The sequence below is a fragment of the Homo sapiens genome, chromosome 3 (assembly GCF_000001405.40).
Source record: "Homo sapiens chromosome 3, GRCh38.p14 Primary Assembly".
NCBI lineage: Eukaryota > Metazoa > Chordata > Mammalia > Primates > Hominidae > Homo > Homo sapiens.
This window is the reverse complement of record NC_000003.12, coordinates 189784315-189809442: the sequence shown is the minus strand read 5'-3', so window position 1 is coordinate 189809442 and position 25128 is coordinate 189784315. Positions and strand designations below refer to the sequence as shown.

General features: G+C 36.5%; 1 protein-coding gene across 13 annotated transcripts in view, besides 12 other annotated features; it reads right to left on the bottom strand.

Moving 5' to 3' along the window:
* The window catches only part of TP63 (tumor protein p63), a 300531-nt gene that overhangs the window by 87834 nt on the left and 187569 nt on the right, over positions 1 to 25128 (bottom strand). For 6 of the 13 annotated variants that reach the window (NM_001329964.2, NM_003722.5, NM_001114978.2 and 3 more), the window contains exon 4: positions 917 to 1171. In NM_001329964.2, the coding sequence (NP_001316893.1) occupies positions 917 to 1171 (255 nt within the window). Of the gene's footprint in view, positions 1 to 916; positions 1172 to 19600; positions 19785 to 25128 lie in introns of those variants that run through there. The other 7 variants (NM_001114980.2, NM_001114981.2, NM_001329145.2 and 4 more) reach the window with 2 other exon arrangements.
* Positions 457 to 1003: an enhancer, noted in NCBI's record as "H3K4me1 hESC enhancer chr3:189526229-189526775 (GRCh37/hg19 assembly coordinates)". NCBI's record gives its function as "activates a minimal SCP1, AML or CMV promoter by ChIP-STARR-seq in primed H9 embryonic stem cells {active_cell/tissue: H9 hESC(primed)}" and the evidence as "EXISTENCE:reporter gene assay evidence [ECO:0000049][PMID:30033119]".
* Positions 9945 to 10014: a silencer, noted in NCBI's record as "silent region_14997". NCBI's record gives its function as "represses an Ori minimal core promoter by ATAC-STARR-seq in GM12878 lymphoblastoid cells {active_cell/tissue: GM12878}" and the evidence as "EXISTENCE:reporter gene assay evidence [ECO:0000049][PMID:35858748]".
* Positions 19642 to 20727: a promoter, noted in NCBI's record as "-823 to +262 promoter fragment". NCBI's record gives the evidence for it as "EXISTENCE:reporter gene assay evidence [ECO:0000049][PMID:16516862, PMID:18198175]".
* Positions 19642 to 22830: a biological region, named in NCBI's record as "DeltaNp63 promoter of tumor protein p63". NCBI's record gives its function as "regulatory_interactions: TP63".
* Positions 19648 to 22830: a promoter, noted in NCBI's record as "-3043 to +139 promoter fragment". NCBI's record gives the evidence for it as "EXISTENCE:reporter gene assay evidence [ECO:0000049][PMID:16931914]".
* Positions 19743 to 19955: a conserved region, noted in NCBI's record as "conserved_region; -170 to +45 region". NCBI's record gives the evidence for it as "COORDINATES:sequence alignment evidence [ECO:0000200][PMID:16645595]".
* Positions 19827 to 19866: an enhancer, noted in NCBI's record as "-83 to -44 fragment". NCBI's record gives the evidence for it as "EXISTENCE:reporter gene assay evidence [ECO:0000049][PMID:27681615]".
* Positions 19906 to 19936: a protein binding site, noted in NCBI's record as "probe C for Oct6 site". NCBI's record gives the evidence for it as "EXISTENCE:protein binding evidence [ECO:0000024][PMID:16645595]".
* Positions 20377 to 20399: an enhancer, noted in NCBI's record as "p53/p63 RE". NCBI's record gives its function as "mediates induction by Tp53 when multimerized" and the evidence as "EXISTENCE:reporter gene assay evidence [ECO:0000049][PMID:14576823]".
* Positions 20377 to 20399: a protein binding site, noted in NCBI's record as "p53/p63 RE". NCBI's record gives the evidence for it as "EXISTENCE:protein binding evidence [ECO:0000024][PMID:14576823]".
* Positions 20377 to 20399: a protein binding site, noted in NCBI's record as "p53/p63 RE". NCBI's record gives the evidence for it as "EXISTENCE:protein binding evidence [ECO:0000024][PMID:14576823]".
* Positions 20437 to 20466: a protein binding site, noted in NCBI's record as "STAT3-RE". NCBI's record gives its function as "positive regulation of promoter activity" and the evidence as "EXISTENCE:protein binding evidence [ECO:0000024][PMID:18198175]".

Sequence of the window (25128 nt, the reverse complement as noted above, 5' to 3'; positions counted from 1 at the left end):
CCTCTTTTATACTTGAGCTTTATTCTTGTTATAATACATTTCAAAATACACTTCAAAATAAAATATTCTTGGATCTAGTTATGAAAAAGAAAATTCCATGCTTCCTTAGAAAAGTTATATACAGAAAGATTTTTTAAAACAATTTCTTTGGACTAATTCTTGTATCTTCCTAATTTATGAAAAGAAAATTCCATGCTTCCTTAGAAAACTTATATGCAGAAAGATTTTTCTTTAACAATTTCTTTGGACTAATTCAGGGCTCTGATATGTCTATTTAAAGGCTTTCTTTTCGAAAAGAATGTTTCCAAATTAAATAAATATATACATATCAATAAATTATAATTCACTGATAAATTATAAATAGTAATTTATAAGACATTATACAATTTACTGATAAATTATAATTTATTGATACCTACATGTATAAACATATTCATCCTTCCTTCATAAATGGGATTTTATTTTCTTAATTTTTATAACACTATATTTATTATTTTACTCAGTTTTTAAAATCACAACTTAATGTGACACTTACTTCTTTACAAGAATGAGACTGGTAAACACGTTCACGTTCTGGAGACTGTAAACACATATCCCATGATTATGATACTTCTTGTTGGCACAGCGCTCTTTACCTTGCCATGAACTTTCACATACAACAGTGTGAAGCAGGCAGGAACACACTGACTGAAGTTGCCAGGAGCTGGCTAGAACGCAGACGTTTGGTTCCTAAATTGGGACTTTTCCCACTAACTGGCACTTTCTCTCTCTCTGGTTCAGTATTAAATATTCAAAGACAAATTTTCCACCATGAACATGGAATCGCTAAACTGGGAAGGGGGAGAAATCCCTGGGACGTGGTGAAGCCCATCCTTGGACTTGGGGGGTCAGGTATGTGCGTGCCCGCTGCTCTTACCGTCCAGGTGGCCGACTTGGCGGTGCTCGACTGCTGGAAGGACACGTCGAAACTGTGCGGGCCTGGGTAGTCGGTGTTGGAGGGGATGGCGGGTGATGGAGAGAGAGCATCGAAGGTGGAGCTGGGCTGTGCGTAGGGCGAGGGCGCCGTGACGCTGTTCTGCGCGTGGTCTGTGTTATAGGGACTGGTGGACGAGGAGCCGTTCTGAATCTGCTGGTCCATGCTGTTCAGGAGCCCCAGGTTCGTGTACTGTGGCTGCAAGGACACCCAGAAACCCCAATATTAGCCGCTGAAGCCACGGATCATTGCTCCAAAAAAAGGCATCCATGGGTGAATGCATTCTACAGAGATGGACCTCACGTCGGAAGCACTTCACATTCAAAGTAAAACCGTTGATTTTTGGTAAACAGAGAAAACAAGAGAAGTCTGAGCATGTGTGTGTTTGTAACGGCTTTTCCAGATCACTCAGCTCTATGTGCCACCTCTGGAGACTGACTTCCTACAGAGCATTTGAAAGTAGAGTATATGCTTATTCACAAACTAGGCAAAACGTTCCCAGTGCTCAGTAGCTGCTTAGGAAGTCTTTAAATAAATACTGCCTGCTATTCCATTTTGAGGTTGTTGGTGGGGGTTGGGGCGTGTTACACAAAATGAGAAAGACCACTTGATAGGTATGTTCCAGAGGGGATTTAAGTGTTAAATTGTTGCATAGGGGGCAAAATCAAATGACCTTCGAATTTTCTCTTAATCTTGCAATTCTGCATTCTGTCCCAGAGTACCAAGAGTGTACCACCCAGCCCCCTAAGGACTGGTTTCACAAAGACTGGAGGATCATGGGTAGCGGGGTTAGGGACACCCAACTATGTATTTTAAAAAGTAACATGCTAGTAAATCATCCAAACTGGTCTAATTCTTTTTTATTTGTTCTTTCATTTTCTTAATAGAAATTTATTCTTTTCTAGAGTAGAACATTTGTAAGAGAAATACCAACTACTTATGAAGAAAATTCTATGGTCAATATAATTCAAAAATACATTAGCTCATGTATTTCCTTCTGCCAAACGTTTTTATGTCTTCTATGTGAATGGGCCCAAGCACAGAGTAAAAGTACTCAAGAACATATTTATGAAAGAATAAATTAATTTTGCCTCATTTACTCTACAAAAAACTTGACTATATTACTATCGGAGAGGTAGAGCATTTGCCCTAGCATCCGCTAACACAATGACTGGGGCTTTCGGTGCTGAATCTTCTGGTTCTGACTTCAGGGCTCTGTCCATGCCATCAAAACTGTCAGCCTGAGTAGGCAAATCAGCCTATCATCATTTCTAAACCTGAGCCAAAATGAACAAAGGGGCAACCAGCTTATGGTACAGTTGCTTTTCCTTTGTAAAACCTTCCGACACATAGAAATCTTGTTTCATCAACCTAATGAATGAGAAAAAAAAATCAAAAGCAAGATTAAGGCAGTCCTATTCGTACATATTTTATAAAGGAAATAGGCCTAGCTCTTCAGTTGAAATGTAACTGAGAGTCCCAGATTAAGTAAAACTATAGAGAAGAACAAACTTACAAAGAAATAGGAGCTAGGCTTATCTTTTTAAAAATTTCAAACTTTTAATTATTTTATTGAACTTTTTTTTTTCCACAGGGGGAGGAGAAGTGGGCTTTGCCATTCCATTCAGTCCAGGAAGCATTTGTCTAAATGTTAATAGTCACATGCTCATTCCATTACATTCATGCATTCGCATTCCACTGCCGAATGCCATGTCCCCATTTGCTCTTCAAATAACTATTAATCTCTTTACACTTATCCCCATGCTGACAAGAGCAGCTGTTTGTCTCGCTTTCTCTCCCTTCTGACTTCTATAGCTGCTATCCACCACTTACCCACCATCTTCAGCTTTCTCTCCCGGCAGGTGTGGCCAAACTGCAGGTAAGACAACTAGGGGACAAAAAAATAAAACCTGAGCCCATATAAATGGTCCATACCCCGGCTGAACTAAAGCTCTTAGGTATCCAAGCCTGAGGCAACAGCCTCGGAAGGGGATTGAAAAGATATTCTTTGTGTTCAAGTTAAGGGTCAGTATACAAAGCACTCTTGAACGTCCTGTAGGAATCAGATAATGCTCCCAAAGGCACGTGCCTCCCTACAGCAGTACAATTAGGGAGGCAGCCGTCCCTGACAAAAAGGACAAAGAAACTCACAGCACTTTCTCGCAGGCAGTAAAATGCCTGCTGGGCCACCCCCTTCCCTCCTGCTTCTAGCTACACAGAAGGAACCCCAGCTAACTAATTGTGGGCTTGGATGAGAACAAAGACGCATGGGCCCCTTGATTTTTTTTTTAACCCAATATAAACGAAGAAAAAAGTTTTGGGACCACACTTTAAAAGCCAGTGAGCAAACACTCTTCAATTCAACAAGGACTTACAAAAAGGGACAATTCCGTGTAAGGGGCAAAAAAAAAAAAAAAAAAAAAAAAAAAGTGTTTGCTTCTGTTGTTTATTGGGTGGGTTCTGAACAGCAGGAGATCCATGTCCAGGGTGGTTTGGTGAAGGCCCCTCTCCCCAGGGGGGTAGCAGGAAAATGTCCTTGACTTGGTGAACTTGGTCTGCCTCTGAGTCACCTGAGGAACCTGTGTTTTGAGCCAGGGTTTTTGGCCTTGAGGCAACATTTCCTCAGTCTCCCTTTGCAGTTCAAAGTATACGGTGACTCTGTTGCAATACTTTCTTCCTTCAAATCCTGCCATTGTTTTGTTGGCCTGCAATCAGCAGGACCTCAAAATAAGCCATGCTCCTTTGCACACTCACTGGCCTTCAGGACCTCAAAATAAGCCATGCTCCTTTGCACACTCACTGGCCTTCCTTCCTATTTCTCCTGGTGAGCGGGCCTCGGCAAGGCTGGCCAAGGCCGAAGGCCTCCCAGGCTGTTCTTCCACTGTCCTGAAACAGTGTTTGGTGCCATATAAGGCCAAGGGTAAACAAGCCTGATCTAGGCACTGCTTTATCCTAGGACTTCACCAGTGAAGTTAATAAAACTTACCTGACTAACTTGAAAGTTGGTTCCCAGAAAATACATTTCTGATTTATAAATCTCCTGTTATGCTCATATGACATTAATAATTATCTGTCTTTGATGATGTGTTTAAACTGAGCAGCAGAAAATACAGAGGCCATACTTTCTGGGAAATTTTAAAGGAAGAAATCATTTGTAATGAGATGAAAATGTTTTAATGAATAAGAAAAGCTAGTGACAATTTTGAGAAAGGGTTTAGGCTGTATACTGCTATATAATTTCTTGAGTAAACTGATTTTATGGATATTAAGGAAAAGAAAGGGAAAATTCCATTTACTGAGGAGTCACAAGAGTCCTTTGGAATGATAGAAAGACTGAACCATTGAGAAGCAACAAAGAAGCAGAAACTGTATTTCAAAAGTCATGAATAGCAATGTGGGTACTGATGGATCTACTTTTAGGCGTCATAGTTTTAAATTATATCCAGTCCCAAGGGAGATTTTGTACGTAAGAAAAACAAGATTTGTTACCAATGCTAAATCCTCAATTAATATAACATAAAGGTATATTTCTTAGGATTGATGAGAAATCAGCCTACTACACACAATCAAAGTGGGAAAACACATTTCAGTTGAAACGCTTCTCAAGTGATACTTTACAGAAATATAAGCCAAGTAGTATACTCCGTTGTCTTTTCCTGGAAAGCGTAAAACTGACACTACTAACTTTGAATGTTAGCTTAAAATGAACAGAAACAACAACAAACCCACCAAAGTCAGAACTGAATGACTGGAAATCCATTTACATATTTTCTTAGTTTATTAAAAATCAATAAATTCATTCTTCAGAAGTTAATTTTTAAAATATCTAGTTTAAAGAAAATATTCTTATTCACTTATTCCTTTGATTTAAAGAAAGATCGCGTGTGTTAACAGGGTACAATTGGAAGCCAAGGGCTGGCCATTATAGTCAAGAAGAACAAGTGTCACCCAGACAGGTCCAGCAAAACAATTTGTACAATTTGTAGTGCTCAGTGCAAGATGAAAATGCAGAACCTCTTGTTCATAGATTAAGAATTTCAAAATGATGATAGCAAAGCATTAAACAAAGAATGGTGCTTTTCTAAGATAGGGCCCTGTGTGACCAATTGCAGTTTTTATGCCCATGAAGCTGTCCCAGGTCAAGTGAATAATATCTATCCCTTATTTTCTATCACAGCAAATCTGGCGGGGTAAAGGGAGCAGTACCTCTTGCCTTATTTACAGCCAATAATTCCATAACAGAGGAGAGAAATGTGTAATATGCTGGGATGTTAATGCAATGCTTACTGACAATGACAAGTCAAAGAGTCAGTCTCAGAGATTAGAACACTATACTTTCAGATCAGCCATAAAAACGGCCTTTGGAAGAACTCCATAGAGCCCCCATGTCCCATATGCATGTATTTCTTAGGTAACAAAAGTTATTGGCGTATCTGAAATGAAATAGGAAGCAGGTTCTCCCTTTCTAAACACAAGGCATCTTGATTTTGGAATAACCTTAACATACCCTGCAGACACCCAAATAATGAGTGAATGGAAACATTATATATCTATCTCAGCATGTCTGAAAAAAGAGGCAGTATTCTTTCCACAAAACATAAAGGCAAAAATGAACACAACTTCTGTGATATCTACTGTGAAACTTATAAAGTAAAATAATTTCCTGTGATTCCAAACAGATGCTTCATTTTCTATAAAATAACTTTGAAATAGAAGAATCACTGTTTGGACCCTGGAAAATTTATTTGTAGTTGTGATATATTCAGGTTCCTCACAAACTAGCTGATCTGATCACAGAAAGGATGAAGTACGCCTTGGTCACATGGACTCGACATATTCCCTGCAATCATAGAACACCCTGAGGGCATTCTGAAACATACAGCTTGCATGGTAGGTATAAAGATACCCAGGAGCTGAATCTCAAACTGTTTTCACCATGAAGAAACAAAACTGTGTCAATATATATTGCTATAACTCAATATTAAATAATTGGATTTATATTTACTTAAAGTTGATGACGTAATTATTTTCCTATAAAAGTATTTAACATCAAAAAGAGATTCCAATGAAGCTATTTGACCAATGCAATAGAAATAGGTATTTACCTATAATTTGTGTTTTTGAAAATCTCTCTCCACCAATTTATCTGTAAAAGATAATTTTTTTTCTTTGAGATGGAGTTTCACTCTTGTTGCCCAGGCTGGAGTGCAATGGCACGATCTTGGGTCACCACAACCTCTGCCTCCCAGGTTCAAGAGATTCTCCTCCCTCAGCCTCCTGAGTAGCTAGGATTACAGGCAGGTGCCACCATGCCCGGCTGATTTTGTATTTTTAGTAGAGATGTGGTTTCTCCATGTTGGTCGGGCTGGTCTCAAACTCCCGACCTCAGGTGATCCACCTGCCTCAGCCTCCCAAAGTGTTGGGATTAAAGGTGTGAGACACCACACCTGGCCAAGAGAATTTTTTAAAATGTCCCCTTTTTCAGATATTACTATCTATAATAGTAAATTTATGACACTATAGCAACAATAGTCAACAATATATAGTAAGAGGTTATTAAAAAAATGGGATAGGGACCAAATCAGGGGTAGAAGAGATTACTGTTGGGATATATAATCATAACTTATCTCGATTCAACCAGACCTTTGTTACAAGATACAACAGTATTCCCAAATTTCACTTGGAAGAAATTGTATTTATAATCCATGAGTGACTGGTGGATGAGGCTAGGGGATTGAACACGCTTCAGTACTCCTTACACTCCTGTATGGATCCTAGTGATGCAAAAGAATTCTGAACTTAAACTTCTTTACATGGAGTCTAAGTCCCAACACTGCCACTAGTGTGCTGTGTACCTCTGGGCAAGGTAGCTGAACAACTTGTGGACCTTAGTTTACCATAATCCAAAGTCTGTGTAAAATTGAGGAGACTGAATTTGAGGATTCAATGAGAGGGATCTCCAGTTCTAACATTCTGTGACTTATGGCCATCCTCATCTGTGAAGCTACGTTAAAACAATGCTATAAGACCACATTCAAAACAGTTTTCTAAGGTAACTGTTCTCTCTCTATACAGATGTCCCTGACCAAACTTAGAAATCTAAAACATTTTAGGCAGCACATACAGTTTCCTCAGCTGATAACCACCTTTCACCTGAGGCTTCACGGAGGTGCTTTTATGAACATTCTACAGTCCCTCATGGGTAAAGAAAACAGCTTTACTTGATGACCCTGGCTTTAAAAGCATTCATTCAATTATGCTTTAGCAGAGAGTACTACATTTCCATCCCCAAATATCAGCAGGATAGTGACTTTTCAACAAGCACTGCCTAAGGGAGACATACTTGTCATTTTTTCGTCTTCTGCCACCTGCCCCACCTCAGAGAATGATGGTTTCTTTTATGCTAGAATTAAACACAATTGACTTACAGTGTTCTACTCCAGGTTAAGAAAATATATTGGTATTCAAACGTCAAGTTAAAACACCATCTTTCCAACCGAAGAATTTATGTAGCATCACATTTTTCTCAAAACCAGATTTTATTAGGTATAAAATATGTCACTCATTTTGTTTTCTAAAATTATATAAAAAGTGAATACTTAATATATACTCATACAAAGAACAAAATATAAGAATAAAGTATTTAAACGCACCCAAAACTATCAAGACTGTAAGCAGAGAGTTCACTAGATGTCCTGTGTTCTGACACAAAGTGTCAAGATTCCTTTGAGTGCCAAGATTCCATAATTTAGGAGAAAGAGCTCTAGAAGCCCCAACGGCAGGTGAGAGAAATAAATACAAAGTTGTCTGATCAGGTGGACAACAATGTCAACAAACATTTGACACAACATTTGAAAAGACAGGAAGTGGGAAAGGTATTAAAATTAAAACTTGATCCAAATGCAGCTAAATTAAAATGTGTAGAACTCAATTAAGAAAAATAAATTTTAAAATTATATTATTTTAGTACATACTCCTATAATAATCATAACAACTCAACAAAATGAAAATCAGAAGGCATCCCAATTCTGAAGGAATTATTATCATTTTATATCAAAGAAGTATCAAACTAAGCAGAAAGCAGGATAGAATTTTAATATTTAATAATTTTTAATTCTGGTATTAGGGGAAATATTCAGAATTTCAGTTTATTCCAAGTGAATCAAAATATGTTTGAAGAGATTTTCAATCTATAGCAATCAATATGTTTTCATAGCTCTATATAGCAGATATGGTAATATTAAAAGAAGAAAGTACATAGTAATAAAATTCTTCAATGAATGTTAAGCCATCTTTATGTTAAGCATACCATACTGCCTTTAGAAGCCCAGCAGTAATGCATCCTTGGTTTGGAAAGTGAGTTTAAAAATATTTTTTAAATAATGTTGGTAGTATATTTGTCTAGTTCATATCCTAAATTGTGACTTAAAACAACGGGTGATTAAATGTGATTAACATTTTATCACAGAAAATAAGCTTTCGTTACCATGACATGAAACTGAAGACATATCAGTTTCAATAAAGTAATGGTGACTATCAGGAGCAAAAAATAAAAATAAAAATAAATTTTAAAACTCTGAAATCTACTTATCATCCATCTTCCATCCCCTCTATAAAAGAAAATGAGCAATTACTTCTACTATTATTAATTCTCTTACGGAGTTCTAAGTATGTGTCTTAGAGTGTTCAAGTGCTTTGCATGGTTTTACTTATTTCTCATGAGACACATGGCATTAATATCCATGTTTTATCCATGTTTTATAGATGAGGAAACTGAAGCTCCACAAGGTTAAGTAACTCGCCCAAGGTAGTGAGAAGAGCCTGGATGTCGAACCAGTAAATCTGGCTCCGGAACCCGCTTTCCTAAGTAGCTTTCATTCCGACTGCATGTAAATAGGAATCACTCACATTTCTGCCTGGAATTTTTATCTGAAAGTTACAATCAAGAAAAGCGCACCTCTTTTATTTGCTTTTTTTTTCTTTTTTTTTTTTTTACTCATTAAAGACAGGATATAAAAGTTTCCCCATTCTTAGTTAGAATGGGTATAATTGCAAAGGGTCAGAGACCCAACTCCTTGTAACTACCACTTGAAAGGCATTGCAAATCTGATCTTGTCACTCTCAAGCTTAAATTCCTTGAGCAGCTCCCTATTCTCCTAGAATAAAGGCCTCAGGTCTTTAACGTGGCCTGTGAGGCACTATTTGAAACTCTGCTCTGGCCAAATAGAACTTTCTTCATTTTTTTAAAGGCTAACTCCTTCAGTCTTCAAGTCTTTTGCACATGCCAGCTGTTTTCCAATTCCTTGTTCAACCTTTAGCTCAGATGTCATCTCCCAGAAGTCTTCTTTGACTGTTCAGACAGATTATTCTCTTTTGTTCCACATTTTCATAGCACTTTCCATTTGTATCATATAATCATAATAGAAATTAACTATATGTATAAACTTTTAAAAATGTTGGTCTTCTCTGCTAGGCAATAAGTTAATGAGAGAATATATCTGGCCTGTTTAGTACTGAATCCCCAATACCTGGGATAATGGCTGAAACATAATAGATGCTCAGGAGACAGTTCTTAAAAGAATAAATGCAAAACACTTCAACATGAAAATTACTTGCAGAAAGTATCTCTTTTATTCTAATACAACTGATCATTTATTTTATCCTGAGTCTGTGTCCAAATTTGATTCATTTCTTTATATGCTACTGTCAGACAAATGTTATAGTGCATCCCTAAATAATCTCTATGATCTTTACTTTTTGTTTAGCTTTGTCTTGGTAGGTGGGAATTGTGCTTTTAGCTTCAGCTTTTATGGGAACTAGTAGCAGAATAGCCAGTCCTGTCACTCACAATACAATGAGTAATACTTGGTAGCTCACACCTAGCTGGGAAGTTTATTAATGAGCTTCTACTTCCTTAAAACAAACACATACACACTTTTGTGCCAAGGCAGTGTTTTTTAACCTGATGGTCTAGGTTTTGTTTCGAATGCACCTAGGTCAGCAATAAGAACCTATATCTTTGTGGTCATATAATTATTCACTTCCTACTGATGGAGCACATGGCCAAATGCAGGTTGCTTTGAAAAGAAACCACCCAGAAACAAGCTTAGAGAAAGACATTTAGTTTCTGGTAGATAGGCCACAAAATTGGTCCCTCCCTGCCTAATTTCCATGATTTTATGCCCAGTTAGCCAGAATTCAGTTTAGAATAAAGCCATAATTAACAGTTTGTGATTGTATGTTTAAGGAACTGAGATTATAGTTTATCAGACTTATAAATCCTTTCTTGCAAATGATATAAATTTATGCTCCAATATAACAAACACTTAAAGGTTGAAACACTAGTTTTTATTTGCAACTGGAAAACTGAGGCTTGAAACAAGGAGTGTACTACTCAATCTTGTTAGACTATAGGCATTCAAGCGGGGAACACTGTTTCATGAGTTCTAATTTGCTTTTGTTTGTCAAATTCTTTGCTGATTGCTACTTTTTAAGTTATATTTGAGATAATTAAAGTTTTTAGTGATTACTTTGCAATTAGATATGGTGACCTATATAACATTGGAGTGTTCCTCTCAGCTGTCACTTTAACTGCAAAATAAAACTCAAGTTTTGAGCTATGCAGAAGACATGCCTTACTTTTGAAAAGACACTCGTCTTATTCATTTTATTCTATTTGTCCTATTATAAAAGATATGAGCAAAACCAAAAGTTGGAATACCACGTTTAAGAGAAAAATTGCTTTGAGGTTTCTCAGACATCCTTTAGTGATAACACTATAGAGAATTAAAAGGAGAGAGCGTTTGCAAATCATCAAGCTTATTCACCCAGATCAAACTTCCCCCATCTCTGGTGAGGACAGAGAGAACTGCAGGGGATAAACTGAATCAAGGGAACAGTGCAGACACAGGTAAACACTTTTAAAAAGGGCCTGCAAAGCAAGATAAAAATCTAAGACTTTTTTTTAATCAAACACATTCTCTGTCCTTGTGAGTAATCAATTATGTGAAAGCAGCACATACTTTACACTAATTACTTGATACCAAACAAATCATCTGCCCTGTCTTTCAAAAACTTTCTTGCTATTTAAAAGATAATGGAAATAATATTGGGCTTATTAAAACAAACAAACAGCAAAAACAAATGACCTGCAAGATGTGAAGGAAAATGACACAATTTGGTTTACCTGCAGAACATATAGATAGAAGAGGCTTGTATAATATGTCGGCTCGCTTTATTTATTTTTGTGCACAAGTCAATTACAAACAGCCTTTTAAGTATATACAATACACCATATATTCCTAGGTGAAGATATCCCTTCAAGCAACAGCAACAGATGCATGTCCTCATCACATTCAGGGAACATTACTGAGTGGCCCTGTAGGGGATACAGAGATAAGCATAACACATCCTCTACCCTCCCAGGGTCTTCAGTCAAAGGATAGGGAGGAAGGATCTGGTGTACACAGAGAGCAATGAGGAAGAAACAGAGTAAAAGAGTTCAGAGGATGGAAGTGTTATCCTGAATGGGGGAATCTGAGAGCTTTTTCAGGGTTAAGTTTCTCCCCAGCAGGGCTTAATGACTGGAAAGGATTTGACCTGGAGATAAATATATGGGGGTGAGGTGTTGGAGCAAAGAAAGAAGGCAGAAAAGCCCTCTTCTCTGAAGTCTCACCATTCTGATTTTCAGCCTTTCAAGCATTTTGGGATTGTCTGTTGAAATAATTTCCCAGGCCTAAGGCTTATGAAGAGCTTCCTGCCTCACCCAGTGTTACTGTTTCTCTTCAAGTGTGTCTTGTGGAGTCCTCAACCTCAGTCTGGTGACAGAGTCTCACACGGTCTATTTAAAAGTAATCACGCCATTCCCCAAACATCTGATGTTGCCCTTTGAGAGGGTAATGGTTTTCCTTTTAATTCTGACTCCATCAATAGAGTGACACTAATCCAGACTGATTTGAGTAAACAGGGCATATTCCCCATTGTCTCTGTGATCTGAGAAAGAATAAACTTGAGAAAGATCACTGGCTGGGTGGGAAATGGCCCCTTTGGGTGTTTTGCGCAAGCTTAAAAGGAAAAAGAAAATGCCTGTACAGAGTTCCTTCCAAGGCAAGCTCACTTCGGGGGTGGTAATTCTCATAGGGGTATTATACTAAACTGCACCTATTAGTGGCTTTAGCACCAATAAGAAAGTAGAACTATTTCTTTTGTAGTGTTTCCAGCATAGCTGACAAGAGTGTTTCATAAATTTCCGCCTCTGGCAACACACCACAGCTTGACTCAAAATTCCCTCTTTCAGCTTTTATAAGGAAATCTTTTTGCCATTTAAGAAATACAGACAAGATGCAATTCAGATTACAAGTTTTGCATGAAATATCAATTTACGTTACACACACATTCACTAACATTCCAAAAATGTTTTATTCTTGCCAGTTATTCCCTCACCTAGAACCAACATGTGCTCTATCTTAACCCCAGTGACTGAATTTTAAATTGACAGGTGAACATTATCTGGTGAAGCCATCTCAGCTCGAATCCATACAATGATCCATTTGTACTTTGTCTTTGAAAAAGAAGCTTGAACAACTTCAAAATCAGAATAAAGTTAGTCCATATCAAACATGCAATCAATCAACTTAGAAATAAGAAATTTATAATTTTTTTTGCAGAAAATGGAAAAGAATAGTTTTTGAATAGTATAGGTGCTATATTCTCAGACCAACTAAGGAAATCAACTGTGGGGAAGTATAAAGTAAGACTTTTGAAAAGATTTTACAGACACTTCATTGAACTACTTATTTCTTTTAAGGAGGTTGTATTTAGTGGAACCTCACTGTTTCCCCTAATGTCTGTAGGACAATCATATGTTAACATTTGATGCTTTCAAAATCTACTTTTTGAAAGTGGAGGATTAGGTTGGTAAAAAAAAGAGAAAGAAATGAGTACTAGCTTAGATGTCTCCTTATTTATCTTGAAGCCCAGTTCTCTTATCCACTCCCTTTGGCTTTAAATCAAGTCACTGGTTCACTCCTTCCTCCCACCATGGCCTACCCTCCCCTGCCCTGTTATTATCTCTTCAATTGCCCACGTGGTCTTCTTGGGTGAGATGGAAGTGATGAAGGAGGCTGTGGAAAGGGAGGATATTGATGTGGGAAAAGACATGTCTTCTCCCAATATTTATCTTTACATATTACATCTTACACATGTATCCTTGTCCCAAAGTCAAATTTAAAAATTTTATGGCAAAGATAATATCTTAAATTTTTTATTTGGTGGGGTTGGCTTTTAAATGGGATATTCATATTTCCCTCTGCTCTGTTATTTATTTCCCAGCTGGGATTCTCATTCTGAATAAATGTCTTATATTCAGCTTCAGGATTACTATTTGCATTTAGAGCAGTGACCAGAGAAAAGACTTCTGGTCCTATTTCTAAGACGACTATTTAATAAATAAAATTAACTCATAATAAACACAGAGAGTCAGTTTGAATTTTGTTCCTAGCTTTGATAAGTTTTAAAATGTCATTACTAAGTCCCTATAAATGATAGGACACCATATCTGGCTCTGTAGAAGTCTAAGGAACGGGAAAAGGTAATCCTCAACTTTTCAGCCTAAGGAATCATTCGGGCTAATTTTCTTTTCCTTCCTGCAAGATGTCACTCATCATCCCTAGAGTATGTGAAGTTTTGAATCTCGAATTCTGAACACTGGTCACACTTTTAAAACACATATAGGTTTCCGCTCTTAGTGAGATCAATATTCCAATTAACTTTTGTTGCTATTTCTACAAAAGCGTTCCATTTTGACATAAATAGTAAATACATATCAGTGTTTAAACCAACACATTTTCTTTTTAAATCAATATACTATGTTCCTTCACGTTGTCTGGCACAGTCCTCCCTTGTATTTTTATAAATTTTATCCCCTCTACATAGAATGTCTTTCCTCCCCTCACGCCACATCTGAATTTCAGTTCTCAAACCATATAAAATATTACCTTTATCATAAACAGTTTGAACTCGATTTCACTCTTTCAAAACTTGGGATATCTTTTACCAATTCTGTTTTATACTGGAGTCATTTACGAACCCCTCATAACTCCCTCAGATTATGAATTCACGGAGGCTAGAAGCTGTGAATTACTAATTTCTTCTTTCCTCACAGTGCATATAACAGTGACTATTATAAGTTTTCAGTAACTGTTGGGTTGGAAGGAAGTGTTTCCTTTAGTGGGGGAAATAATCAAAATGATTTGTGGCTGGTACTTCAAAATCATTGTGTCTGGCTTACAGCCAAATTTATACTACTTTTTCATTTTGGGGTGGAGTGTTAGTGTGTGGAAGAGAATGAAATAAAGAATGGGGTCTTTACAGAGTGACTATATAATTTATCTTCTAAATGGGACAGTTTTGAAAGTGAAAAGGTGTGCTATTAGTAATTATGCTAGAATAGCAGGCATAAATAAAGACAAACCAAGACCAGTAGTTCCCAATTTGTCTATGGCAGGGACCATAGCTATTAAAAAGAGCACTGGGCAGAAAATACACAGGTTGTATGAGACTTTAGAAACAATCCATGCGTATCCTTCCAAAGATCCAAGAGAACTGATAGATATTTCTGCAAAACAGGCAGCCAATGTGCAATGCAGAGAGATGCATTTTCATACTTCTAGGCAATCTCAAGCAAAGCCATTTATTCTCCCTGTGCTCTCTAGTAGAGCTCCAATTACACAATTACACCATTCTTCTGTTCGAAATCCTTCCATGGCTTTTCATTGTCACTATGATAAATGTACTCTCCTCTCAGTGTTATGGTCATCTCTGAGCCACTCTATCTTGCATTTCCAACTTTATTTCCTGATCGTCTCATAATTTCAATTGCATTTGAACTATTTGATGCTTCTGAGTGTACCAGCATTCACTCCTCACCCCCCTTCCCTTTGCTGATGCTTATTTCTTCACCTAAAATCCTCATTCCTTCTTATATTTCTAGAACTTGGAAATTTCCATCTGTCCTTCCAAGTGCAGCTTCATCTTACATATGCATATAGACTTTCTTGATCTTCCTACATCATGGACTCTCTTTCCCTTTGATGCTTTATATTATCTTGCTCACACACTTAAAATCTCTCCTGTATTATAATTGCATGCATACTTAGCTCATTCCCCCAAAGAACTATAAACTTCTTAGTGTAGGAATTATTTCTTAATTATTTTTAGATCCTATATACCATTTTACATATAATTGATGCTCAGTAAACATTTTTTTAAGAGTCAGTCAGTTCTTCTTCTAACCTGTTTCTCTTTCTCAATACTACTTTTCATGAATATTGTCAACATAGAACTTAATCAAAAAGTATAAGTAAAAATTATAAAATGTTTAGAGTGGTGGCCCATTAATAAGCCACATTTCACTATTTTCTTGGGCCCACAAATTGTGTCCTTAAGATTAGGAATAAGATTTAAAACTTAACTTTTGAATCAAATGTTTCACCTTGACACTTGAATCCATGCTCTTCCAGACCCAAAATGTAGTACTCTATTGGATACCATTTGTAGGTTCCACTAAATTGGCACTGGACAATAATGCTATATTAGTCAACTGACATTTTCCTCAACATACATCTAAAGAAAATTGAGCGCCCACTTGGGTTTAACAATTTTTTATCTTCAAAATAGTAAAACTTATAAATTATGGAAATCATCAAGTTGTTTTTCACAGAAGTATCTTTTTGTTACCTGTATTCATTCTATTTGTTGACATAAAACAATTAGAAATTTAAAAATATTCAAGGGGAGAGAAAAGTTATACTAGGAAGGAAGGATTTTTACCTGTGCCCCTCTATTCTACCAGCTCAGATTCCACCCAGAGCAATCATATGCACATCAAAGAAAACCAGGGTGTATTTGTGGTAACATATTTCTCAACTGTTTGATCCAAATCCCTTTTTAAAATCTCATGACATTAGATATATACTCCCTTTATAGCAGAACGCAGAATCTAAATTCTGTCCATAGTCATTGAGGAATGTTTTAGCAACTTTGCATTCAGAAAATGTACGTATAATGAAAAAGAAACCAATATTTTTTTGGTTGCTCTAGAAAATGTAGACATCCATTGATGCTTTCTGCTGTACGTGTGACATGCTGTTGAGAATCACTGCTCTTCTAAAAAGCAAACCAAACCAAACACGGTTTTCCTTATCGAGGTAAAGGATAAGTGATTTATTGTCTCAAAATCTTTTTTTTTCCAGTAGTAGTGAAGGAAGGTATGATCTGTGATCTGTGATCTAAGATGTCTTTCTCCTAGTTCCCTCTGGGCTCGAGGACAACCAACTGTAAAACAAGTAGTGCAATCTATGGCAACAGCATGGAGTGAGGAATACGACCTGGCTGACACTAATTAAAAATGCAGCTTCTGCTTCTCACCCACTGTGCTTTTTCCTATGATGCTAACTAGCTCAGAAGTACAACATGGGACAGCTTAATACATTTATTAACTATCAATAGAAAACTCACACCCATATCTTTTAAATGGTTGAGTCAGTAGAAATAGTACTAGGACAGGACAGATTTTTTTCCCTAGACCAAGCAGACAAAGAAGTCAATTAAGTGAGAATGACCTGGACTACAGGGAGTTTACACTGCTGTCTCCACACTTTTTTTCTTGCATTCAACTGGCTTTGTACAACTGTTCTTCATGGAAACTGTTTTGGAGCATCTACTATGAATCATCCCATCTCTCCTTGGTATTAAAAAGAAAGTGGCTGAGTAAAGGGAACACGATCGTATACATATAGCTCTCTCAACTACAGAAAGAAAAATCATTAACCCTGATTTGTAAAATGAGGTGTTTCCATATATGAACCTTGATTTCCCATTTAGTTCGAAAATACTGTAACCCATTTACCAAAGTGTCTTTCCTTCATCATCTAAAACCCCGGATGAGGAATTTTAGTAAATATCTCTTTCTAAGAAGGAGTTTGAGATCCTCCCCACTCACACACATACACACTTACACCACACACACAGCCCAGTTTTGTTTTGTTTTGTTTTGCCAGAAAGTTGAAGTTAAAACTTGATCTGTGAAGAAGTTCCTTTATTTTGACCCTCTCTATCTCCAAGTCTGAGACCATTCCCAGAGGCTCTGTCTTTCCTAGTCTGGCACTGGGGAGTGGAGCTTGCTTGCGGCCTCTCCGCTGTACCCAAGGGTAGAGCCTTCAGCCTTGCCTGTTATATCCTGCTTGTGTTCTCCTCCCTTCCGGACCATTTCCTGTTAATTAGCAGCTCCCCCAAATCCAAATCTGCTAAGGGTTGGGGAAGAATTCAAAAGTTGTGGGAAAAGGAATAGAGAAGGAACAGTGTTCTTATATAGTTTTTGAGTTATCAACTCAAAGAAATTGCTAGCAAATTAAACTATAAATTTATTTGAAGTCAAAGAATGGATTATAGTTTTTAAATAATTTTCACTCTTACAGGGAGTTTTATGCCTTTTTCATTTTTAATCTACCCAATGTTTAACAATTCTTGTGTAATAATAGTAGATTGCTTTTTCTGTATTGACAGTTACTAATAAACATAAATCCCTATACATTATAACTTTTATATTAAATTCATGGTTCTCAGAGCCATGTGGTGCCAGGCATTTCATATACTCAGATGTAGCACTGAATTTTAACAGAGGACTAGATATGAAAGCATAATCCTGTACAGAAAGAAAGTTGTTCGTACGTAATAGAATGGAAGTCAAGCCATGAAATTATAACCTAATACATGCACTGGTGGAAGGATATGAAAGTCATGCAGGCAACATGCAAAAAGACATAGAAAGGTAGGGAAGTGCAGCCATGTTTTTTACAGATATTTTTTGTCGACCTTAGCAGCATTCCAATAGAAAACAGACAAGGGATGCCTTTTGTAGCTCTTGATTACATATTTACCTAGAGTTGTGAAAAACTAAAACCTGTGTATAAAACTATTTTCTTTCATAAGCATGCCATATTCTCACATACAATATGACTCTTTTGCCTCCATAAAAGGAAATAATTTCTACAAATATCCTCTAATCACAACATTAATGCAATTGCTTTCTTTCACGACATTATATTTAACCTAAAATTAATCATTTCTTGCCACTTTACATCAACCTTGTGCTTCACTTAGAGATATCAATGAACAGACTTTTGCTTCTCCCATTTGACTTACAAGATCCTAGGCGGCTTATAAATACTGTGTGTGAAATAGTTCATGAATAAAGACAAACAAACTCAGGTATGACATGATGGACAGATCATTTTCTGAATGATTAAAACTGGACAAAATTGGATCCAATAGAATCAAGAAGATCTTAAAAGCTAATCCTATTTAAAAACAAATTGGTAACATTTTAAGCTAACTTTCAATATAACTGCAAAACAAGAAACTCAAGTTTCTCTACTGAGGACAAGCAAGCCTGCTTGAATGTTTTAAAGAAAAATAGGCACTTCCTTTTCCTTCTTTAGATAACTCGATATTTCCCCTGTTGTATTTACACAGTTCAGGAGTCTAGACAATAGCGTGGTCAATACGATAGCACAGGCCCTGCTTCGCAGCCCTCTGCTCTACTCTTCCTCTTGCGGTCTGCACCGGAATACTATGCATTTTGTTTTGATTTTTAAGGAGCTCAATTTGAGTACTCTAGTCCACTTTTCCAAGCACTCACCTGCAAGCATTTTTATCTGAAACACCGAACTCTCTCTCTCCACAACACTCCCCACCACAACCCAATCTGATTAGTGTCAACACAGCTGCCCCATTCTGAGGAATGTAAACTAATATTGTTGTTAGACCTCCCTCAACCTTAGGAAACTTCCTCAAAGCCTTACAGTCTCTTCAGGATTTTTTTTTTTATCCCTTTGCACAGGTTTAAATACCTAAGACAAACTTGCTGAGAAGAGATCAGAAATGCAAATAATCAGTTTCTTAAATAAAATCCTGTATGCTATAATACACATTTACATGTATGCATGTATAAATATTTAACAATGCATCCCTCCAAAATAACTTTATTTGTCATCACACGTGAAAGTACAAGTCACCCTCCAGACGACAGAAACGTTATCACAGCCCCTTCTGGATTTAGGTGGGTCTCTGGATTGACAGACTTAAAAACGAAGATGGCTTTAAAAAATCTCACCTGATTATTTTGAAAAAAGCTTCATTTGCTTTTAGGATGAAGTCTGGAAATAGAACTATGCTAAGAAGTTAAGACACAGTCAACTGATTTTTCTTACTGGTACATGAATACCCATCAGAGGATTCATTGCAATGTATCTAGCAGAGTGTGATCTGCTCTCTGAGTCTGTTTTTCTAAAAAGTGATTTTATAAACTCCTGAATATTATTTTTTCAAATACATAATGTCACCCAGATTTTCTTTTTCATCTTCTCCTACTGTTTCATCTCCTACTTAATAAAAAAAAAAAAATCTTACAGCCACCACAGAAAACATTAACCAAGAAAAGGAGATTCCTATATACAATTTGCAAAACATTACATTGGGTGACCGAGAACCGCAAATACGTAAGTTTTTTTACAAAAATAAAAATTAAAAAGCATCTCTAAATGGAGTGCTAAAATCTAAAATCCTTACCTCACTAAATTGAGTCTGGGCATTGTTTTCCAGGTACAACATGTTAGCTGTAAGATTGATCAATGCTGCTGTCCTTTCTTCTGGCTCCAGGATTTTGCCAACCCCCCCACCCCGAGACCCTTACAATATGAATCTACTTAAGAAGATAACAGAACTCAAGTCCCTCTCTCTCTTTCTCTCTCTGTACATAATTTAAGGTTTCCTAATATATACCCAACTATAGGCATGAGGAGGCGGGACTCTTCTCTTTACCTGTCCAATCCATCAACTTCCACCTGGACTCCTCCACTCCAATGGAGTGAGGCCTCTCCCATCTCATTAAGTAGTTAGAATTCCTTATCACCAATCTTTAAAAGAAAAAGAAAGAAAGAAAAAAAAAACAAACCCAGGAGACAGACAGGTAAAACTTTCCCTGTCTCTTTCATAAGAAAGTGCACTGTCTTTTAAAAACAAAACAAATCTCCCCAAACAAACCGCACCACCACCACGATTTACAGAAGGCATTTCAGAAAGTTATTTTACTCTTTGTAACTGAAAAGTAAACTTCAGGAAAACTTTTAGAAGGCTTCTTTTTTAAAATCTAGATTTGGGGTTTCAAGAATGATTACACAAAGTTAGAAATTAGGAGAGAGTACGCAAATCCACTGTTACATTTAACCAATATAAAAAATTAAAACCCACTGCCTGATAGCTAAAGAGTTTTTAACTTATTTTCCCCAGAGAAATGCCAGTGGTTTCATAACAAGCAATTACAAAATAAGCTACCTGATTTTTTCGAGCATGTTTCAATAACAAGTTAAACCACCGGTCCCGTTAACTTACAAAAACAAACAAACATCCATATTATGTACGGGAAATAGGAATCCTGATAAATGTGTCCTTTCTTTCTTCTTTTTTTTTTTTTTAACAAAACGCTTATCTATTTGAATATTTCTTTTCTCTATTTTATTGTACCCAGTTTATACTAATATTTTTGCTTGTGAATAGGTAATAAAAATGATTACTGCACGTGATGCATCTATGTAAATGATTAGTGGAATAAGTATTAAAGCATAAGATATCAATTGGCTTTTGTTTTAAAAATACATTTACATAAATACGTACCAACATTCATGTAGAATCTGGCCTTGGTACGAAGATTTAGTGGAGATGAAATGCACCCTGATGGTTATCATCTGATTCATTAAAATACTCTCTTTACTGCTGAGTATTTGTAATTCAGTTAGATTTATTTCTTGACATCATCCTACACCCCCACCCCCCACTCAGGGACCCAATTTCCTCTATTTTGCTTGAAAGGTTGTAAGTGGCCAAGATAACTATAAGTGAAAATTGTGATTTCTTCTAAAATTTAGAAGACACAAAGTTTAGAAGAGAATTGGAAGCCAGAAGAGATTAGAACATACATTTCAGAAACAAAGTTTGCAAATACGTTCACGACTTCGGATTTGCCTCCCCTTTACTTCTACTTTTGCATCCATAAAATTTATGCACTTAAAGGATGACGTGGTCATTGGCTGATATATAAGACCCATAGGTTACTGGTAATAATGCTTCCTTCTTTTATACACAAAAACCAAAAAACTCCCATAATATAATTTGATCTTGAGTATGCAAGAATATGACAGTACTCTGTAACACTACAAATTTATATCAGACAAAACATTCATTTCTTCACACATATATTGGGAAGAATGATCTCTCTTTCTACCTATAATTAACCAAATGAGCACTGCCTAGAAGGCAAAAAAAAAAAAACCTACTTACAAAATACAGTATAATTTTTTGTACAATGTGTCTAAATTCTACACCTACTGACAGCTTAAGAGTCAACAGTAGAAAGCAGATGGTTACTTCCTTAAAGGTATGCATAATTCCTGTGGCCCAAAAACTTGGATGATCCTGAAAATCATCCAGGGTGCTTTTTAAAAACAGATTTCTGGACGTGGCCCCAGACCTCCTGAATCAGACTCTGCAGGGTTACAGCCCCAACAACTGGATTTTATACAGCCTGCTAGGCGGTTCTGGATGAGTCACGCTTGGGAATCAATGATCTAGAGGAAATGCTGTTAGCACAACTGCCTACCAAAGTCATTATTAAATTGTTTTTTACACTAATGGGATCATGTAGCCATTTGAACACCTAAATCTAAGGCTCAGGGTCCCAAGTATTGATATCCACTAAAAATGTAAACAAACTTCACCTTTCACGAAGTCAAAAGATTCCCAGCAAGATTTGAAAGATGAAAAAGTCAGATTCCTTCCATGTGCCACCTCAGCTATCAGCATGAATCCAAATACGGTCTCTGTCTAACATATCTACAAAGATTCTGGACAAAATCTAAGACAATATATCCACTATGGCTACTTGAGAACTTTGAGTATGTTGGAAGAAAAGAGCACTGGACTGGGAGTTAGGAGACAGGAGCTCCGTGCCCTTGGGGCAAGTTACTTAACCACTCTGGATTCAGATTCCTCATTTGTGAAATGAGGGCAGAGCTAAATGATTTCTAAAGACAATTACAAAGATAAGAGCCTGTTTTTGTCCAGAATCAGAGAAGTGATTTAGAGGATATTCCTCTGATTTTACTCGGATATTTATTTGTCCCTCAGTTTGCTCATCTTCATATTGTACAAGTGAAGTAGTCAAGCTGCACAGCTACTTAAGATACTTAAATGACATAAAGGAAAAGGAACATATTGGTGGAAAATCCATATTTTTTGCTTTAAGGTATCCTCACAATGAAAAATTCGCTAATAGTTCATGTAGATTTGAACTCAGCACAAACATTTCCATAAAAGAGCTAATTAAAGTATACCTGATAATGTTTGGTTTCAGAATTAGTGAGTAGCTGATGTAAATATCATGCATTGATTTAAGCAGGTTACAAAGAAGTAACAATTCTCTGCACTCAACAACAATGCTTATATGTGGATCTCAAATGTACTAAATGTTTAGTAACATGCATTAATTTTCTAACCACCTAGTGGTGTAAGTTAGTATTATTATCTACATTTTTCAGATAAATAAAGAAATGCAAGGATTTTACGTCAATGTCCCAAGTCCTCAGTAGTTAGAACAACTCTATTTAGAGCTCTTGCCTTTTCTCAGTCATTTCCTCAGACTTCGTAAAGCTCCACGGTCTCTGAATTAGGGGTCACGCTGCCCCCTGGGTAAAAATGGCGGCGCTGTAAAGCCATAGCTTTGGGAATAGAAGTCCAAGATGTCAGATCGAAGCATATGCTTTCCAGAAATAACAAAATGCTAACATTTTGTTGACTATCTTTTTTAACATCCAACTTTTTATTATAAGTGCTATATTTTCCTGTGTTTGTGTTTGTATATGTATTTGTGCATGCGTGTGTGTGTGTGTGTGTGTGTGTGTGTGTGTGTGTTTAGGTATGTCTGGTCTTTCAAATTTGCATACAGTATTATGGTTTGCTTTTTGGTGTAGGAAAATTCTAATTTTTCCATAGTCAACTTATCCTTTTTTGTTTTATGACTTACTGTGTTTCAGACACAGCGTGAAAGGCCTTTCCCAGCCCAATGTAAAATTTTGCAACCATATTACAATATTAGGATTTTTGAATGTTTTCACATGCAAGTCTTTTAACTTTCCAGAATGTATGTCTGTATGAAAAACAAAGGAAAATCCACTCTCATCAATCGAAAACTGATCTTTATTATTTATCGAATAATATATATTTTTCTCAGATTTGAAATGCCATTTTCATAAAATACCGATGTCAATGGCTCCATTTGACATCCCTATGTGAAAAAGTTAAATAGTTATACTGGATTTTTTTGGTTTGTTGTATTTTTATTTTTAATTTTTTCCCTGAATATTTATGATCCATGGTTGTTTGAGTCCATGAATACAGAACTAGCAGGTACAGGGGCTGACAATCAATCCTTCTATGTTTTAATAACAAATCTACCTGAATGCTGAATGAGGGCAAAAAAGGAACATACAGCAATGTCTCCACTTTCTTTCCTCCCTGCTAGAGCTCCCTCACTATATAACTTCATCTTTCCTAAAGTGCAACTCTGATCATGTCACTCCTCAGGGTGTCCCAGTGCCAACAGGACCAGATAAATTACTTAGAATGGCATTCAAGGCCCTTTAAAATCTGGCCCCAAACTACCATTTCAGCTTCACTTTCCTTATAATCCACTTTGCTTAGCAAATGTGGACCCCAGCTGGCTATTTTTGTCCTTCTGTTCATTCCGGTCCCTCAGTTTAGAATGCCTTCATTTGCTTTCCCGATATATTCAAATACTTTTAGATTCTTTAAAGCCTACCGATGTGAGAATTTCTCTAAACCCTAGTTGAAGTTAAACCTTCTCTTATTTTATATGAATATAAATAAAAGCAGTAATAAAATTCTATCTTTCAATGCAAAAAGTTGTATACTTAACGCTCTCCTCAACAAGATTGTGAAGTTTTTGAAGTCAGAATACATTTATGTTCATCATGTCACATTTAGTACTCCAAAAGCTCGGTGAGTATCAGCTCAATTAAACAGTTCTATAATTCTATAAGAAAGAACTAGAATTAGAAGAGTATTTACCCAAAGCATTTATTATGAGACGGACACAGAGAGATGCCTTTTTACAGAGAGATTTTACAGAGAGATGCCTTTTGATCTTGTAAAAATCAAAGTATAGTATCTAAAATAGAAGAGAGAAAAAATATCGCTTTCAATTCAAGCTCCGTATCTCAAGCCCTTGATAATTATTTGTGAAAAGGGACAGTTGTCAGCATGAAAAACCTGTAATAGTCAAAAAAGGTTGGGGTTTTTAGAACATGCGTGAAAGCTAAGAAATGTTGGGGCTTTCCAGGCTGCTGCAGAACAAAACCAATGAGATCTTTTTGGTATCAGCTACCATTAAGTTGAAGGATGATCAACAGAACACACTGAGTAACTTTTAAAGTTCTAATATTGCATGAATTAAGTGTTTACCTTCCTCTCCTGCCTCAGATAGGTGATAAGAATTAGCATTTGAGGAAGCTACTGAAGGCCACTGAATTAGTTCAACAAATCAATTTTTAGTCTGAGGCTAAGTTCCAAAGCAAGATATTAGATCTCACCCATTTTAGGGTGACCAGCTAAGTTCTGAAAAATGGGTAAGTCTCATAGGCATAGAAAGGGAGACGAGTTCTGTCGTAAATCTTACAGTTGTATTCTAGATTTAATTTTTTATTTGTATACATGTTCAAGTAAAAGATAAAATGGTAGACAGAATTTAGATTCTGCACTTTTTATGGTTAAGGTACTCAAAGCACTTTACATATAACAAACTCATTTAATACTCACAAAATTATGCCTTAGATACTATGTTCATTGTTATTGCACAGATGAAGACACTGAAATGCAGATAGATATTAAACATTGGAATTGAGATCCGAATCTGTGTATTTTGAGACTGGAATCTACAAACACTGCTTCATTGTTTAATTACATCTTAATATTTACTTTTCCCCCTACTCCTGTATTTATCCTTCTTCAATGTCATGTATGTCCTA